Here is a 17,651-nt window from a genome sequence, read left to right as displayed (position 1 = left end):
ACCATCAAATACAGTTGAGTACAATTTAGAAAAAAAAGTCTAAAAATGTCTTGGTGAGGATGTCATCTCAGTAGCCTTAACAAAGCAGTTGGTAAAATGATGGGTGGATGCCAGATTGCAGTGGGTTGAAGACTGTAAGGAAAGGAAAGGCATTCACTTAGGTTTCTCTTTCTGGAAGTACATGTTGAAGGGAAGGAGTAAAAAAGAGCAGTCTCTTGAGAGTAGACGTGTAGATCTTTGGATCATGCAGAGTGTGAGTGTGTATGTCCATTCAAAGAGGACAGACTGTGTGTTTATACATATTTTATTTTAAGGTTAAGTCATCATGGGGAGTTGGCATTTGGAGGTGCAGATGAAGAGTTTAGTCTTTAATGAGCAGAGAGACATCTCTAAAAAATCAGGCAAGCAATAAAGCTCGTAACTGATGCTGATGAATTATAAATGTATGTAAAGAAGAGGGGAATAATGTAAATCAGAGGAGGTTCTAGATTCTTTGTGAAGTAAAAGGTAAGATTATCTGCTGAGAATGAAGCATTATCATGGAGTTTGGCTATTAAGGAGATAGGGGAAATTATGCAAAAACACCCTGGGTGGATGAGGGAGTTATTAGGCCTAAGGTTACCCATAGGCTTTGAGGTTACAGACCACAATTTTGCAAAGGACATGAAATTTGCTTGCTTCCCTTTTATTCTCCAGAAAGGGTAGGGTAAATATTGATGGGAAAATATGGATAAAGTGATGTTGGTGTGTTGGAAACTTGATCCCCAGTGGGGCAGTATTGGAAAGTGGGATCTTTAAAAAGTGTTTAAATTATGAGGGCTCCACCCTCATGAGTGGATTAATGCCATTATTTTAGGACTGAGTTTCTTATAAAATGAAGAGTTCTGCCCCCTCTTGTTCTCTCCCCTGCCCCCCACCACCCACTCTTTGACCTTCTGCCATAAGGTGAGGCAACAAGAAGTCTCTCGCCAGATGCTAGTCCCTTGATTTTGAACTTCCTTGCTTCCAAGACCATGAGCCAATAAATTTATGTTCATTATAAACTTCCCAGTCTTAGGTATTTTGTTATAGCAACACAAAATGAACTAAAATAGATGCTTTTCATATTCTCTGTTCTATTCCTAATGAGTTTGTGATCATGCCGGAATAACTGAATTGTGAACTCCTATTAAGACGTCTATAACAGTTCAACAAAGACAGGGTGAAAGAATCAACAATTATTGCATAACAAACTATCTTCAAAGCTCAAGGTCACATAACAATAAGCATTTATTTCATACAGGCTTATTGGAGAAGTCAGCTGGTCTAGGCTGGGCTCAGCTGGATGGATCTTCTTCAATCTGTAGACAGCAGAGGCAGCCAGACAACTTTTTTCTTTGTCTCTCATCCTCCTCTTCAGACCGGTGGGTGACCTGCGGTTTGTTTTTCTTATGACAATAGCAGAAGTACAAGAAGGCAAGTGGAAATAGGCAAAGCCTTTTAAGGCCCAGGCTGGGAATAAGCACACCATCACTTCTACCCCATTCCATTGGCCAAGCAAGTTGAGTGGACAAGTCTAAATCAAGGGACTTTGTTTTTTAGTTATCTATTGCTGTATAACAAACCATCTCAAATGCAGTGGCTTAAAATACTATGCTCAAATGTAGTAACTTGAAGCAACTGTGATTATTTATTTGCTTATGATTTTACAATTTTGACAGAGAATGACAGAGAGAGCTTATCTCTACACTATGTGGCATCTGCTAGAGTTGTAAGGTATGAGATGGCTTTTTCACTCACAGGTTTGATGTCTTAGAATAGTTGGAGTAGTTGAGGGTTGGCAAGGAATATCTCTCCATGTCTTTCCATGTGGTTAGCTTGAGCCTCTGCAAACCATCGCAGTCTCTAGGTATTTGAACTTCTTAACATGGGAGCTGGCTTCTCCTTAAAGGTAAAAGTGGAAGCTGATATGTTTTCTTACTGCCTGGGCTGAGAAATCACAAAATGTTATTTTTACTGCATTCCATTGCTCACAGTAGTTACAAACCCAAACCAAATTCAAGGTGAAGGGAAACAGACTCTACTTCTAGCTGAGGAGGTGCCAAGCTCACATTGCAGAAGGGAACGAGGGATACTGTTTCAGTCATTTTCAGGAATCCAGTCTACCACAAGTGAAGACAAACTCTCCACCCACAAAAAGGGTGTGGATATAGAGAAGGAGCAATAATTTAATCAACTGTGCTGTATAATACGAATGTGTATATTAAAATGATTTTAAATGATTCTAGAGTCAGTCCCTTGCCCTGATATCACAATCTGGAGGATTGTCATTTAACATAATAAAACCACACTGCTGAAGTGGCCACCAAAAGTACTTCAGTTTTCTTTATTTTTGATAAACACCAGAGGCTGCCATAATTAGTATAATGGAATATTGGATACTGGTTTTCTTTGATGAAATTTGTCCTTGTTAATTAGTTAATTAATATATTAGAAACAAAGATCCCATGGTGTGAAGGGAAAAAAATATTAGAAATATAGTCTCCCTGGGTAAATTAGCGGTTCCCAAAATGAATTAAATATTTAAGAGACACTGTTCAAAGGGAATAAAAATTAAATGAGTTCTAGCCTTTAACTTGAGGGATGGTGCCCTAGGCTGGAGATTTCAGTATTTCTGTGTCCTGCTGTGTCCAGAGGTTTTCTTCTTAGAGATGTTTGGCTGAATCCTCACTCTGAAATATTGTTGCATTTGCCTCAAGCAAAGCTTTCATGAAAGGTAGTTTTGAAGTTAGTAAAACAACAATGACAACAACAAAAACAAATGACAAAACCGTGGGAACTTCATTGAGCTTAGAGAACAGGTTTTATGACTGTTTTTTGCTTGCTTTCTAATAAATGACTATATATGTACAAAATTTTGTTGAAGATCTTCTATCACTATAACTCGTTGGTATGTTGTAGCTAACTATCCCTTACTTTATACTATAAAGTAAGGTATAGTATAAAGTACTATAAAGTAAGCTGCCTACAGACATCTACCAAAAGCACCCAAAGTTGTGTATCACAAAACTGGCTTAAGCCAGTTCACAAAAATTCTTTATGGCAAAGGTCACCATTTTTTAAACACTGTCTGAAGACACTCAATAATACCTTCAACTGATCAGGAACAGAGATAAAATAATTGAATTAAGGTGCTAAATCTATTCAGAAAAAATATCCAAAAGTTAATATAAGGCAAAAAAAAAAGATATTAGTACTCTTTCAAAATAATACTAGAGCATTGTCTAACAAGCCCACTGAAGGGGCAAGTAATCCTCTAAGTTAATGGAACTTTTGGAGGTCACTATTTACTAATGATTAGAAAATAGATTACAAGGTTAAATGTCATTATGTAGAATATTAAGTTTTGAATGATTTTTACCCAGTAAAGATGCAACTAGTTTCTGTCTTTTAGATAAAAATAATCCCAAAGGCCATAGTTTTCACTGCCTCATAGGACATTAGCTAGTTTTTTACTTAAACTTGCAATCTCATGTCAGCATTATTTTTCCCCCACTGACTATACCTTTACCAGCCTTTTCTATTGCCATTGCAATCAGTTTACCATACTCCTCCTTTTCTCATTAGTGACTTAAATAAATATTTGGTGATTAGTTACTATATATATATTTGAAGATTATGCTTTGATAGCTTTTAAGGTACTCCAGTGGCTTAGCAAGAGCTACAAAGTGAGAAGGTGTTCACTTTATTATCATCTGGTGCATTCCTGAACGGGACCTCGCTAACCTTTCTCAGGAGAGAGTCTGTGAGTGGACAATGTCCAGATACATGCAAGACCCATTTAGGAATACAGATCTCAAGAGAGAGTTATCTGTGCTCAGCTTAATTCCACTCACCTCCGTGTCCCAAGTGGGACACATGTGCTTTCAGATTTGTGGCAATCTTTATAGCTAGGAAAACAACTCCCAATTACTCAGTTCAATTCCCTCTCTTGCTGAAGAGTTGGGAAGCATATGATAAAAGCTATGTCCAGGCAAACTGCAGGTGTCATAGGGAGAGGAAGCCTATTTTAAAGTCAAAATCCCTATCTACTTCCTACCCACCTCAGCCACAACAATATGCTTATTCTTGTAATGCTGTTCTAAAGATTTCAGGTTTCTGGGTCTATTATCACTCATCCTTTTCCAAGTCCAGGTAATTGAATGCCTGAGGACACCAGGTGCTGTTTCTCAGTTGATAGAAGCTGCTAGATCTTCCATGACTGTTGATTTTTATCAGGGTAAAATTAAGTGGGGGAAAAATACTGGAGGGGACACTGTTGTCAGAAATCAGTCCCCCCACACCCCTCCCAATCAGAGCTTTAATCAGACAGGAACCTTTTACTATTTCCCACTTTTGAGTTTCCTTAAATGGAGTTCAATGCTTATCACCTGATGGGAGTTTCTTAGCACTAAGTATGTGCCAGGGGCTCCCCGAGGAACGATGATCGATGATCCTAAGAACAAAGTGGAAAGAAGGATGTAAAGAGATGATGTTCTTTACCTGAGATCGACGTGCAGAACAAAGTGGAGATAGAAGGTAGCTAACTCACTGCGGCGCAACGGATTTTGTTGGTAATTGGCGTTGCTTGGTTCTAAAAAGGCTAAGGAAACCAATAACAATAAACTGTGTACACAATTCCAAACACGTTAAAGACGATGGAGTCGGATTACAGGGGGAAAGGCACTTCAAGTAATGCTATTTTGGGTTGGAAAACAATGCTCCAGGTGAGGCTCGAACTCACAACCTCGGCATCACTCGCACACATACTGCCATATAAGTACCGCGCGCTAACCGATTGCGCCACTGGAGCACCCAGTTTCTACTTCCGGTCACTCCTTACACAGCCTACACAGGAACATCCGGCGTGTTTGCTCTGGTCGTCACAGCACCGGTTCCTCGGGCGCGCGCCCTTAGTCCTGGGGCCGCTTCTCCCCCGGACGCGTGCGAAGGCGGACTGGGTTCCGCTGCGGTCTCCACGGGAGCCACCGGTCCTGAAAGCGCGGAGCATGCTTTGTTTGCGGAAACGAAAGCGAATACTTCTTTCCAAGGAGACTTAGGAAAGGGCAGACGCTCCCACTGCCTCAGGTGTTCCCTGGAGGACCTTCAAGTGGCCGCCGTGTGGGCGGGCTAGCGTCCCGCTGCTGCGCTGGTTCCGGAGCCCTTCCCTTGCCTCTCCCAGGGTCCTTCTCCCAGCGTCGGAGGAAGGCCCGCAGTCTGCGAGTGGAGTGCGGGTGGTGGGAATCCCTGGGAGGATTACGAAATCCTTAAAGTGGGATTTACCAAACGCATTCCTTTCCGCTCACTTCCGTTCCCGCTTAACAAACGTGTTGGAAACGTGTTGCTACTGAAAGGAAGTGGCGCTGGGCTGCATTTTCTGTGGCTAGTCTGCGAGAAACAGCCCTGGAATAGGGCCTCTATTTCTTCCTTGGAGCATCCCTCCCCGGGACCTGGGAGTTGAAACTCTAGGCTAAAGCAACTGAAGCAGGCCCAGGACTGGGTCTCTGAAATTCATGGTGTCTCTACGCTGAGTTAAACTAAGTTTTTCAGAAAATGTCTAACTAGGCTAAAGACCTTGTGCTTCAGAGTGTTTTGAGAGGAGAGTTTGGGGAAAAGGGCTCTCTCTAGAAGGTAAATTTGTATGGGAGATGGGGAGTGTGTGTTTACACGGAGTATCGGGCGTCTTTCTTATGGGTGGACATTGTGGATAAGAATGAGATATTAAGGCAGAATTAGCTGGGCTTTTAATCCCAAACAGTGTTTTAAAAATAAAAACTATATATTTAAGGTGTACAACATGATGTTTTGATACATGTACACAGTGAAATGATTTCTACAGTCAAGCTAATTAACATAATACATCTCTTCACAGTTACTATTTTGTGTAAGTGGTGAGAGCGCATGAAATGTACTCTCCGCAAGTTTCCAATGCACAATGCAGTATTAACTATAGTTATGCTATGCATTACATCTCTAGACTTATTCATCCTATAGAACTGCAACTTTGTATCCTTTGACCAACATCTTAACCATTTCCATACGTCTCCACCCCTGGTAACCACTGTTCTACTCTGCTTCTATGTATTTGACTTTTTTAGAATCCACATAAGAGATCATGCAGTATTTTTCTTGCTGTGTCTGGCTTGTTTCACTTAGCATAATGACATCGAGGTTCATCCATGTTGCAAACAGCAGGATCTTCTTTATTAAGGATGAATAATATTCTATTGTGTGTATAAACTATATGTGCTTTATCCATTCATTGGTGGACAGCCACTTAGGTCGATTCCATATCTTAGTTATTGTGAATAATGTTTCAATGAAGATGGGCATGCAGTTATTGCTTCGAGATCCTGATTTCATTTCCTTTGCGGATGTGAACACCGAAAATTTGAGACACGTTTCAGTTAATTTAGAAAGTTTATTTTGCGAAGGTTGAGGACACACCCCTGTGACACAGCCTCAGGGAGTTCTGACTACCTGTGCCCAAGGTAATCGGGGCACAGCTTAGTTTTATACATTTTAGGGACACATGAGACATCAGTCAATATATGTAAGAAGTACATTGGTTCCATCCAGAAAGGCGGGGACAAAGCAGGGAGGGGGCTGCCAGGTCTTACTTTTGAGTTTCTGATAAACCTTTCCAAAGGAGGCAATCAGAGTATGCATCTATCTCAGTGAGCAGAGGGATGACTTTGAATAGAATGGGAGGCAAGTTTGCACTGAGCAGTTTCCAGCTTGAATTTTCCTTTTAGCTAGTGATTTTGGGGGTGCAAGATATTTTACTTTCACAGTATATACCCAGAAAAGGTACTGCTGGATCATGTGGTAGTTCTATTTGTAATTTTCTGAGGAACAGCCATACTGCTGTTTTCCATAAAGGCGGTACTAATTTGCATTCCCACTCATAATGTAAAAGGGTTCCCTTTTCTCTACATTGCCAACACTTGTTATTTTTTATATTTTTAAATTGGTTATTCTAACAGGTCTGAGATGATGTCTCATTGTGGGTTTGATTTGCATTTCCATGATGATTAGAGATGTTGAGCATTTTTTCTATTGGCCATTTTTTATGTCATCCTTGGGAAAATATCTGTTCAGGTTCTTTACCTATTTTTTAATTAGATTTGGTTTTCTTGCTATTGAGTTGTATGTGTATATATATATATACCTTATATATTTTGGATATTAACTCCTTATCAGATACATGGTTTACAAATATTTTCTCCCAACCAATAGTTGCCTTTTCGTTTTGCCCATTGTTTTCTTCTCTGTGCAGATTTTTCGTTTGATGTAGTCTCACTTGTTTACTTTTGCTTTTGTTTCCTGAGCTTTTGGTGTCCTGTCCAAGAAATCATTACAAAGGCCAGTGTCAAGGAGGTTTTCCCTTACATTTTCTTCTAGGAGTTTTACAATTTCAGGTCTTCTGTTTAAGTCTTTAACCTATTTCGAGTTGAATTTTATGTAAGGTGTAAGATAAGGGTGTAATTTTTTTATTTTGTATGTGGGTTCCCAGTTTTCCCAACACCATTTATTGAAGAGGCTGTCTTTTCCCCAATGTGTATTTTTGTCACGCTTGTCAAAAATCAGTTGACTCTAAATGTGTAGATTTATTTCTGGGCTCTCTATTTTGTTCCATCGGTCTATGTGTCTGTTTTCATGTCAGTGCCGTGCTGTTTTGATTGTATGGCTTTGTATAGTATATTTTGAAGTCAGGTAGTGTGATGCCTCCAACTTTGTTCTTCTTTCTCAAGATTGCCCTGGCTATTTAAGGTCTTTTGTGGTTTTATGCAATCTTAGAATGTTTTTATTTCTGTGAAAAATATTGGAATTTTGATATTGTGTTGAATCTGTATATTGCTTTGAGTATTATGGACATTTTAACAATATTAATTATTTTGATCCATAAACCTTTTCATTTACTTTGTCTTCTTCAGTTTCATTCATCAATGTTTTATAGTTTTCAGTGTACAAATCTCTTACCTCCTTGGTTACATTTATTCCTAAGTATTTAAATTTTTGTACCAATCGTAGTAGATATTTGTAAAACTTTCTTTTTAGATAGATTGTTGTTTGTGTAAAGAAACACACCTGACTTTTGTATGTTAATTTTATATCCTACAACTTTATTTAATTATTAATTTTAATAGCTTTTTGGGTGGAGTTTTTAGAAATTTCTACGTATAGACTCATGCCATCTGCAAACAGTTTTACTTCTTCTTTTACAATTTGGATGCCTTTTATTTCTTTTTCTTGTCCAATTGCTTTTGCTAGTACTTCCAGTGCTATGTTAAATAGAAATGGAGATAGTGGTAATCTATACCTTGCACCAGATCTTAGAGGAAAAGCTTTTAGTTTTTCTCTATTGATTATGATGTTAGTTGTGGGATATTAATAAATGGCCCTCATTGTGTTGAGGTAGTTTTCTTCTATACCTATTTTGTTGAGAGTTTTTATCTTGAGTGGATGTTGAATTTTGTCAAATGCTTTTTCTGCATCTATGATGATGTGATTTTTATCTTTCACTCTGTTAATGTGATATATTGCATTGATTGATTTGGGTATTTTAAGCCACCCTTGTATCCCAGGGGTAAACCCCACCTGGTCACAGTGTATAGTCTTTTTGATGTGTTTTAAATTCAGTTTGCTATGATTTTATTGAGGAATTTTGCATCTATGTTCACCCAGAGATATTGGCCTGTAGTTTAGTTTTCTTGTGGAATCTTTGTCTGGCCTTGATATCAGAGTGATGCTAGCTAGCCTCATAAAATGAGTTTGGAAATATTATCTCTACTTCTATTTTTGGAAGGGTTTAAGAAGGATTGGTATTAATTTTTCTTTAAATATATGTTAGATATATGTGCTCAGCTGTGAAGCCATCTGGTCTTGGACTTTTCTTTTTTGAGAGGTGCTATATGGTTTGTATGTAGTTTGTCCCCACAAAAACTCACACTCAAATTTAATTGCCAATGTAATGGTGCTAAAAGGTGGGACTTTTAAAAGGCATTTGGATCATGAAGCGATTAATGCAGTCATGAAGGGTTTAATGCAGTCTCAGTTATCATGAGAGCAGGTTATTATAAAGTGAGGCTGCTTCTTGTGTTTCATCTCTTTGTACACACCCATTCCCCATTTTTTCTGCTTTCCACCATTAGTTGAAGCAGCACAAGGCAGATGGGATGCTTGATTTTGGACTTCCCAGCCTGCCAAACTGAGCTATATAAACCTCTTTTTTTGTCTTAAAATAAATTACTCACCCTCAAGTATTCTGTTATAGCAACACAAAACAGACTATGACAGGAGGTTTTTAAATTATTATTACTTCAATCTCCATATCTGTTATTAAAATGTTTAGGCTTTGTATTCTTGATTCAGTCTTGGTAAGCTATTTATTCTAGGAATTCATCCATTCACTCTAGGTTATTTAATTGGTTGACATATAATTGTTCATAATAATCCCTTATGATCTTTTCTGTTTCTGAGGCATCTGTTGTAATGCCCTCTTTCATTTTTTTATTTTATTTATGAGTTTCTCTTTTTTTCCTTAGTTATCTAGCTAAGGGTTTGTCAATTTTGTTTGTATTAAAAAAAACTCTTGGTTTTGTTTATTATTTTTCTATTGTTTTCTAGTCTCTGATTTATTTCTGTACTAATCTTTATTATTTTCTTTCTTCTGCTAACTTTGCGTTTAGTTTGTTCTTCTTTCTAGTCCCGTGAAATCTAGTTTATTTATTTAAGAGCTTTCTTGTTTTGTTATGTGGTATTTGTCACTATAAACGTCCCTCTTAGTATTGCTTTTGCTATATCTGATAAGTTTTGATAAGTTGTATTTTCATTTTTATTTGTCTGGAGTTTTTTTTTTTAATTTTGTTTTGATCTCCTACTGAGCCCAGTGGTTGTTCAAGATTATGTTATTTAGTTTCTATGTGTTTGTAAATTTTCCCATTTTCTTGCTGTTAATGATTTCTGGCTTCATTCCATTGTGGTTGGAAAAGGCACTTGGTACGATTTCTATCTTTTTGAATTTGTTAAGACTTGTTTTGTGACTTAACATATGATCTATCCTGGAGAATGTTCCATGTGTGCTTCTGCTATTGAGTGAAAAGTTCTAAATATGTCTGTTAGGTCTATTTGGTCTATAGTGCTTTCCAAGTTAGCTGTTTATTGATTTTTCTGTCTACATGCCACATGTTCTATCCATTATTCAAAGTGGGGTATTGAAATCTATTACTATTGTATTGCTGTCAGTTGGTCAACTTGCTGGTGTCTCATAAGTCCCTTAAGCTATGTTGACTCTTTCAATTTTTCTTTTTTTCCCTCTGATTGTATGATTTCTAATGACCTGTCTTCAAGTTCACTGATCCTTTTCTTCTGCTAGATCTAGTCTGCTGTTGAACCCTGCTATTGAATTTTTTAGTTCCGTTATTGTATACTTTAGTGCTGTGATTTCTGTTTGTTACTATTTAATTTTTAAATCTCTTTGTTGAAATTCTCATTCTGTTCATGAATTTATCTCTTGACCCCAGTGAACATCTTTTTTTTTTTTTTTGGATTGTCCATCATTTTTTATTGTTTCATAAGAGTTTTCTTTCTCTCTTTTTATTATACTTTAAGTTCTAGGGTACATGTGCACAACATGCAGGTTTGTTACATATGTATACATGTGCCATGTTGGTGTGCTGCATCTGTCAACTCATCATTTACATTAGGTATTTCTCCTAATGCTATCCCTCCCCCTCCCCCAGCCTCATGACAGGCCCCAGTGTGTGATGTTCCCCATTCTGTGTCCAAGTGTTCTCATTGTTCAATTCCCACCTATGAGTGAGAACACACGGTGTTTGGTTTTCTGTCCTTGCGATAGTTTGCTCAGAATGATGGTTTCCAGCTTCATCCATGTCCCTACAAAGGACATGAACTCATCCTTTTTTATGGCTGCATAGTATTCCATGGTGTATATTTGCCACATTTTCTTAATCCAGTCTATCACTGATGGACATTTGGGTTGGTTCCAAGTCTTTGCTATTATGAATAGTGCTGCAATAAACATACCTGTGCATGTGTCTTTATAGTAGCATTATTTTTAATCCTGGTTTATACCCAGTAATGGGATCGCTGGGTCAAATAGTGTTTCTAGTTATAGATCTTTGAGGAATCGCCACACTGCCTTCCACAATGGTTGAACTAGTTTACACTCCTACCAACAGTGTAAAAGTGTTCCTATTTCTCCACATCCTCTCCACACCTGTTGTTTCCTGACTTTTTAATGATCACCATTCTAACTGGTGTGAGATGGTATCTCATTGTGGTTTTGATTTGCATTTCTCTGATGGCCAGTGATGGTGAGCATTTTTTCGTGTGTCTGTTGGCTGCGTAAATGTCTTCTTTTGAGAAGTGTCTGTTCATATCCTTCACCCACTTTTTGATGGGGTTGTTTGATTTTTTTTTTCTTGTAAATTTGTTTAAGTTCTTTGTAGATTCTGGATAATAGCCCTTCGTCAGATGGGTAGATTGCAAAAATTTTCTCCCATTCTGTAGATTGCCTGTTCACTCTGATGGTAGTTTCTTTTGCTGTGCAGAAGCTCTTTAGTTTAATTAGATCCCATTTGTCAATTTTGGCTTTTGTTGCCATTGCTTTTGGTGTTTTAGACATGAAGTCCTTGCCCATGCCTATGTCCTGAATGGTAATGCCTAGGTTTTCTTCTAGGGTTTTTATGGTTTTAGGTCTAACATTTAAGTCTTTAATCCATCTTGAATTAATTTTTGTATAAGGTGTAAGGAAAGGGTCAAGTTTCAGCTTTCTACATATGGCTAGCCAGTTTTCCCAGCACCATTTATTAAATAGGGAATCCTTTCCCCATTTCTTGTTTTTGTGAGGTTTGTGAAAGATCAGATGGTTGTAGATGTGTGGTATTATTTCTGAGTGCTGTATTCTGTTCCATTGGTCTATATCTCTGTTTTGGTACCAGAACCAAGCTGTTTTGATTACTGTAGCCTTGTAGTATAGTTTGAAGTCAGGTAGCGTGATGCCTCCAGCTTTGTCTTTTTTTGCTTAGGATTGTCTTGGCAATGCAGGCTCTTTTTTGGTTCCATATGAGCTTTAAAGTAATTTTCTCCAATTCTGTGAAGAAGGTCATTGGTAGCTTGATGGGGATGGCATTGAATCTATAAATTACCTTGGGTAGTATGGCCATTTTCATGATATTGATTCTTCCTGTCCATGAGCATGGAGTGTTCTTCCATTTGTTTGTGTCCTCTTTTATTTCGTTGAGCAGTGGTTTGTAGTTCTCCTTGAAGGGGTCTTCTACATCCCTTGTAAGTTGGATTCCTAGGTATTTTATTCTCTTTGAAGCAATTGTTAATGGGAGTTCAGTCATGATTTGGCTCTCTGTCTGTTATTGGTGTATAGGAATGCTTGTGATTTTTGCACATTGATTTTGTATCCTGAGACTTTGCTGAAGTTGCTTATCAGCTTAAGGAGATTGTGGGCTGAGATGATGGGGTTTTCTAAACACACAATCATGTCATCTGCAAACAGGGACAATTTGACTTCCTCTTTTCCTAATTGAATACCTTTTATTTCCTTCTCCTGCCTGATTACCCTGGCCAGACCTTCCAACACTATGTTGAATAGGAGTGGTGAGAGAGGGCATCCCTGTCTTGTGCCAGTTTTCAAAGGGAATGCTTCCAGTTTTTGCCCATTCAGTATGATATTGGCTGTGGGTGTGTCATAAATAGCTCTTATTATTTTGAGATACGTCCCATCAATACCTAGTTTATTTAGAGTTTTTAGCATGAAGGGCTGTTGAATTTTGTCGAAGGCCTTTTCTCCATCTATTTATCATGTGGTTTTTGTCTTTGGTTCTGTTTATTTGATGGATTATGTTTATTGATTTGCGTATGTTGAACCAGTCTTGCATCCCAGGGATGAAGCCAACTTGATCATGGTGGATAAGCTTTTTGATGTGCTGCTGGATTCGGTTTGCCAGTATTTTATTCAGGATTTTTGCATTGATGTTCATCAGGGATATTGGTCTAAAATTCTCTCTTTTTGTTGTGTCCCTGCCAGGCTTTGGTATCAGGATGATGCTGGCCTCATAAAATGAGTTAGGGAGGATTCCCTCTTTTTCTATTGATTGGAATAGTTTCAGAAAGAATGGTACCAGCTCCTCTTTGTACCTCTGGTAGAATTTGGCTGTGAATCCATCTGGTCCTGGACTTTTTTTGGTTGGTAGGCTATTAATTATTGCCTCAATTTCAGAGCCTGTTATTGGGCTATTCAGGGATTCAGTTTCTTCCTGGTTTAGTCTTGGGAGGGTGTATGTGTCCAGGAATTTATCCATTTCTTCTAGATTTTCTAGTTTATTTGCGTAGAGGTGTTTATAGAATTCTCTGATGGTAGTTTGTATTTCTGTGGGATCGGTGGTGATATCACCTTTATCATTTTTTATGTCATCTATTTGATTCTTCTCTCTTTTCTTCTTTATTAGTCTTGCTAGCGGTCTATCAATTTTGTTGATCTTTTCAAAAAACCAGCTCCCGGATTCATTGATTTTTTTGAAAGGTTTTTTGTGTCTCTATCTCCTTTGGTTCTGCTCTGATCTTAGTTATTTCTTGCCTTCTGCTAGCTTTTGAATGTGTTTGCTCTTGCTTCTCTAGTTCTTTTAATTGTGATGTTAGAGTGTCGATTTTAGATCTTTCCTGCTTTCTCTTGTGGGCATTGAGTGCTATAAATTTCCCTATACACACTGCTTTAAATGTGTCCCAGAGATTCTGGTTATGTTGTGTCTTTGTTTCCTTGGTTTCATATAACATCTTTATTTCTGCATTCATTTCGTTATGTACCCAGTAGTCATTCAGGAGCAGGTTGTTCAGTTTCCATGTAGTTGAGCGGTTTTGAGTGAGTTTCTTAATCCTGAGTTCTAATTTGATTGCACTGTGGTCTGAGACACAGTTTGTTATAATTTCTGTTCTTTTACATTCGCTGAGGAGTGCTTTACTTCCAACTATGTGGTCAATTTTGGAAAAGTGTGATGTGGTGCTGAGAAGAATGTATATTCTGTTGATTTGGGGTGGAGAGTTCTGTAGATGTCTAGTAGGTCCGCTTGGTGCAGAGCTGTGTTGAAGTCCTGGATATCCTTGTTAACTGTCTGTCTCGTTGATCTGTCTAATGTTGACAGTGGGGTGTTAAATCTCCCATTATTATTGTGTGAGAGTCTAAGTCTCTTTGTAGGTCTCTAAAGACTTGCTTTATGAATCTGGGTGCTCCTGTATTGGGTGCATATATATTTAGGATAGTTAGCTCTTCTTGTTGAATTGATCCCTTTACCATTATGTAATGGCATTCTTTGTCTCTTTTGATCTTTGTTGGTTTAAAGTCTGTTTTATCAGAGACTAGGATTGCAACCCCTGCTTTTTTTTATTTTCCATTTGCTTGGTAGATCTTCCTCCATCCCTTTATTTTGAGCCTATGTGTGTCTCTGCACGTGAGATGGGTTTCCTGAATATAGCACACTGATGGGTCTTGACTTTTTATCCAATTTGCCAGTCTGTGTCTTTTAATTGGGGCATTTAGCCCATTTACATTTAAGGTTAATATTGTTATGTGTGAATTTGATCCTGCCATTATGATGTTAGCTGGTTATTTCGCACGTTAGTTGATGCAGTTCCTTCCTAGCATCGACGATCTTTACAGTTTGGCATGTTTTTGCAGTCGCTGGTACTGATTGTTCCTTTCCATGTTTAGTGCTTCCTTCAGGAGCTCTTGTAAGGCAGGCCTGATGGTGACAAAATCTCTCAGCATTTGCTTGTCTGTAAAGGATTTTATTTCTCCTTCACTTATGAAGCTTAGTTTGGCTGGATATGAAATTCTGGGTTGAAAATTCTTTCCTTTAAGAATGTTGAATATTGGCCCCCACTCTCTTCTGGCTTGTAGAGTTTCTGCTGAGAGATCCGCTGTTAGTCTGATGGGCTTCCCTTTGTGGGTAACCTGACCTTTCTCTCTGGCTGCCGTTAACATTTTTTCCTTCATTTCAACCTTGGTGAATCTGACAATTATGTATCTTGGGGTTGCTCTTCTCGAGGAGTATCTTTGTGGTGTTCTCTGTATTTCCTGAATTTGAATGTTGGCCTGCCTTGCTAGGTTGGGGAAGTTCTCCTGGATAATATCCTGAAGAGTGTTTTCCAGCTTGGTTCCATTCTCCCCATCACTTTCAGGTACACCAGTCGGACATAGATTTGGTCTTTTCACATAGTCCCATATTTCTTGGAGGTTTTGTTAGTTTCTTTTTATTCTTCTTTCTCTAAACTTCTCGCTTCATTTCATTCGTTTGATCTTCAATCACTGATACCCTTTCTTCCACTTGATCAAGTCGGCTACTAAAGCTTGTGCATGTGTCACGTAGTTCTCGTGCCATAGTTTTCAGCTCCATCAGGTCATTTAAGGTCTTCTCTATGCTGTTTGTTCTAGTTAGCCATTTGTCTAATCTTTTTTCAAGGTTTTCAGCTTCTTTGCAATGGGTTCGAACATCCTCCTTTAGCTCGGAGAAGTTTGTTATTACCAATCTTCTGAAGCCTACCTCTGCCAGCTCGTCAAAGTCATTCTCTGTCCAGCTTTGTTCTTTTGCTGGCGAGGAGCTGTGATCCTTTGGAGGAGAAGAGGCGCTCTGATTTTTAGAATTTTCAGCTTTTCTGCTCTGATTTCTCCCCATCTTTGTGGTTTTATCTACGTTTGGTCTTTGATAATGGTGACCTACAGATGGGGTTTTGGTGTGGATGTCCTTTTTGTTGATGTTGATGCTATTCCTTTCTGTTTGTTAGTTTTCCTTCTAACAGTCAGGACCCTCAGCTGCAGGTCTGTTGGAGTTTGCTGGAGGTCTACTCTAGACCCTGTTTGCCTGGGTATCACCAGTAGCGGAGGCTGCAGAACAGCAAATATTGCAGAACAGCAAATGTTGCTGCCTGATCCTTCCTCTGGAAGCTTCATCTCAGAGGGGCACCCGGTTGTATGAGGTGTCAGTCAGCCCCTAGTGGGAGGTGTTTCCCAGTTAGGCTACTCGAGGGTCAGGGACCCACTTGAGGAGGCAGTCTGTCCATTCTCAGATCTCAAACTCTGTGCTGGGAGAACCACTGCTCTCTTCAAAGCTGTCAGACAGGGATATTTAAGTCTGCAGAAGTTTCTGCTGCCTTTTATTCAGCTATGCACTACCCCCAGAGGTGGAGTCTACAGAGGCAGGTAGGCCTCCTTGAGCTGTGGTGGGCTCCACCCAGTTCGAGCTTCCCAGTCGCATTGTTTACCTAGTCAAGCCTCAGCAATGGTGGATGCCCCTCCCCCAGCCTCGCTGCTGCCTCGCAGTTCGATCTTGGACTGCTGTGGTAGCAGTAAGCAAGGCTCCATGGGCATGGGACCCGCCAAGCCAGGCACGGGATATAATCTCCTGGTGTGCCATTTGCGAAGACTGTTGGAAAAGTGCAGTATTAGGGTGGGAGTGTCCCGATTTTCCAGGTACTGTCCCGATTTTCCAGGTACTGTCATGGCTTCCCTTGGCTAGGAAAGGGAATTCCCCGACCCCTTGTGCTTCCTGGGTGAGGCGATGCCCCACCCTGCTTTGGCTCACACTCTGTGGGCTGCATCCATTGTCCAACAAGTCCCAGTGAGACGAACCTGGTACCTCAGTTGGAAATGCAGAAATCACCCATCTTTTGCATCGCTCACACTAGGAGCTGTAGACTGGAGCTGTTCCTATTTGGCCATCTTGGAATGAAGTTTTTTTTTGTTTGGTTTTTTTTTTTTTTAGACAGAGTCTCGCTCTGTTGCCCAGGCTGGAGTGCAGCAGCACAATCTCAGCTCACTGCAAGTGATTCTCGTGCCTCAGCCTCCCAAGTAGCTGGGATTACAGGTGTGTGCCACCATGCCTAGCTAATTTTTTTTGTATTTTTAGTAGATACAGGGTTTTACCATGTTGGTCAGGCTGGTCTTGAGCTCCTGATCTCAGGTATCCACCTGCCTCAGCTTCCCAAAGTACTGGGATTACAGGCGTGAGCCAATGTGCCCGGCCCAGTGAGCATCTTTATGACCATTATTTTGAATTCTCCCTGTGGTAAATAATTTATCTCCATTTCATTAGGGTCAATCTCTGGAGATTTGTCTTTTTCTTTTGTTTAGAACACATTTTTATGTTTCTTTACTTTTCTTGACTCTGTATTGGTTTCCGCACATTAAACAACCACCTCTCCCAGTCTTCACAGACTGGCCTAATATAGAAGAAACTTACCAGTCAGTCCAGCCATAGGTACTGAATGCCTCTCAAATCTTTTTTTTTTTTTTTTTTTTTTTAATTTGGAGATGCAATCTTGCTGTTTTGCTCAGGCTGGAGTGCAGCGGCGCAATCTCGGCTCATTGCAACCTCCACCTCCTGGGTTCAAGCAATTCTCCTGCCTCAGCCTCCCAAGTAGCTGGGACTACAGGTGCATGCCACCATACCTGGCTAACTTTTTTTGTATTTTAGTAGAGACGGGGTTTCACCATGTTACCCAGGCTGGTCTCGAACTCCTGAGCTCAGGCAATCCACCTGCCTCAGCCTCCCAAGCCTCTCAAATCTTTATGGTCATACAGACCATCATCTTTGTTCTTAGTG

At 39.4% G+C, this 17,651-nt stretch overlaps 2 long non-coding RNA genes and 1 other non-coding gene across 3 annotated transcripts in view, besides 1 other annotated feature; 1 reads left to right on the top strand and 2 right to left on the bottom strand.

Moving 5' to 3' along the window:
• Positions 1-1,202: 1,202 nt before the first annotated feature.
• LINC00240 (long intergenic non-protein coding RNA 240) overlaps positions 1,203-17,651 on the bottom strand; it is a 66,982-nt gene continuing 50,533 nt past the window's right edge. The window contains exon 3 of the long non-coding RNA NR_026775.2: positions 1,203-1,923. This is a non-coding gene — a long non-coding RNA (long intergenic non-protein coding RNA 240). The remainder of the gene's footprint in view (positions 1,924-17,651) is intronic.
• On the bottom strand, positions 4,738-4,831 carry TRI-TAT2-2 (tRNA-Ile (anticodon TAT) 2-2). Its single transcript has 2 exons — positions 4,794-4,831; positions 4,738-4,773 (listed from the first exon to the last, which is right to left on the bottom strand). It is a non-coding gene; the product is annotated as a tRNA-Ile (tRNA).
• Positions 4,867-5,126: an enhancer, noted in NCBI's record as "active region_24256". NCBI's record gives its function as "activates an Ori minimal core promoter by ATAC-STARR-seq in GM12878 lymphoblastoid cells {active_cell/tissue: GM12878}" and the evidence as "EXISTENCE:reporter gene assay evidence [ECO:0000049][PMID:35858748]".
• Positions 4,871-5,811, top strand: LARRPM (LINC00240 antisense RNA regulating promoter methylation). The gene has a single exon (NR_026776.1). It is a non-coding gene; the product is annotated as an LINC00240 antisense RNA regulating promoter methylation (long non-coding RNA).

This window comes from Homo sapiens, chromosome 6, assembly GCF_000001405.40.
Source record: "Homo sapiens chromosome 6, GRCh38.p14 Primary Assembly".
Taxonomy (NCBI): domain Eukaryota; kingdom Metazoa; phylum Chordata; class Mammalia; order Primates; family Hominidae; genus Homo; species Homo sapiens.
Note: the sequence above shows the minus strand (reverse complement) of the source record. Positions and strands in the feature narration are given on the sequence as shown.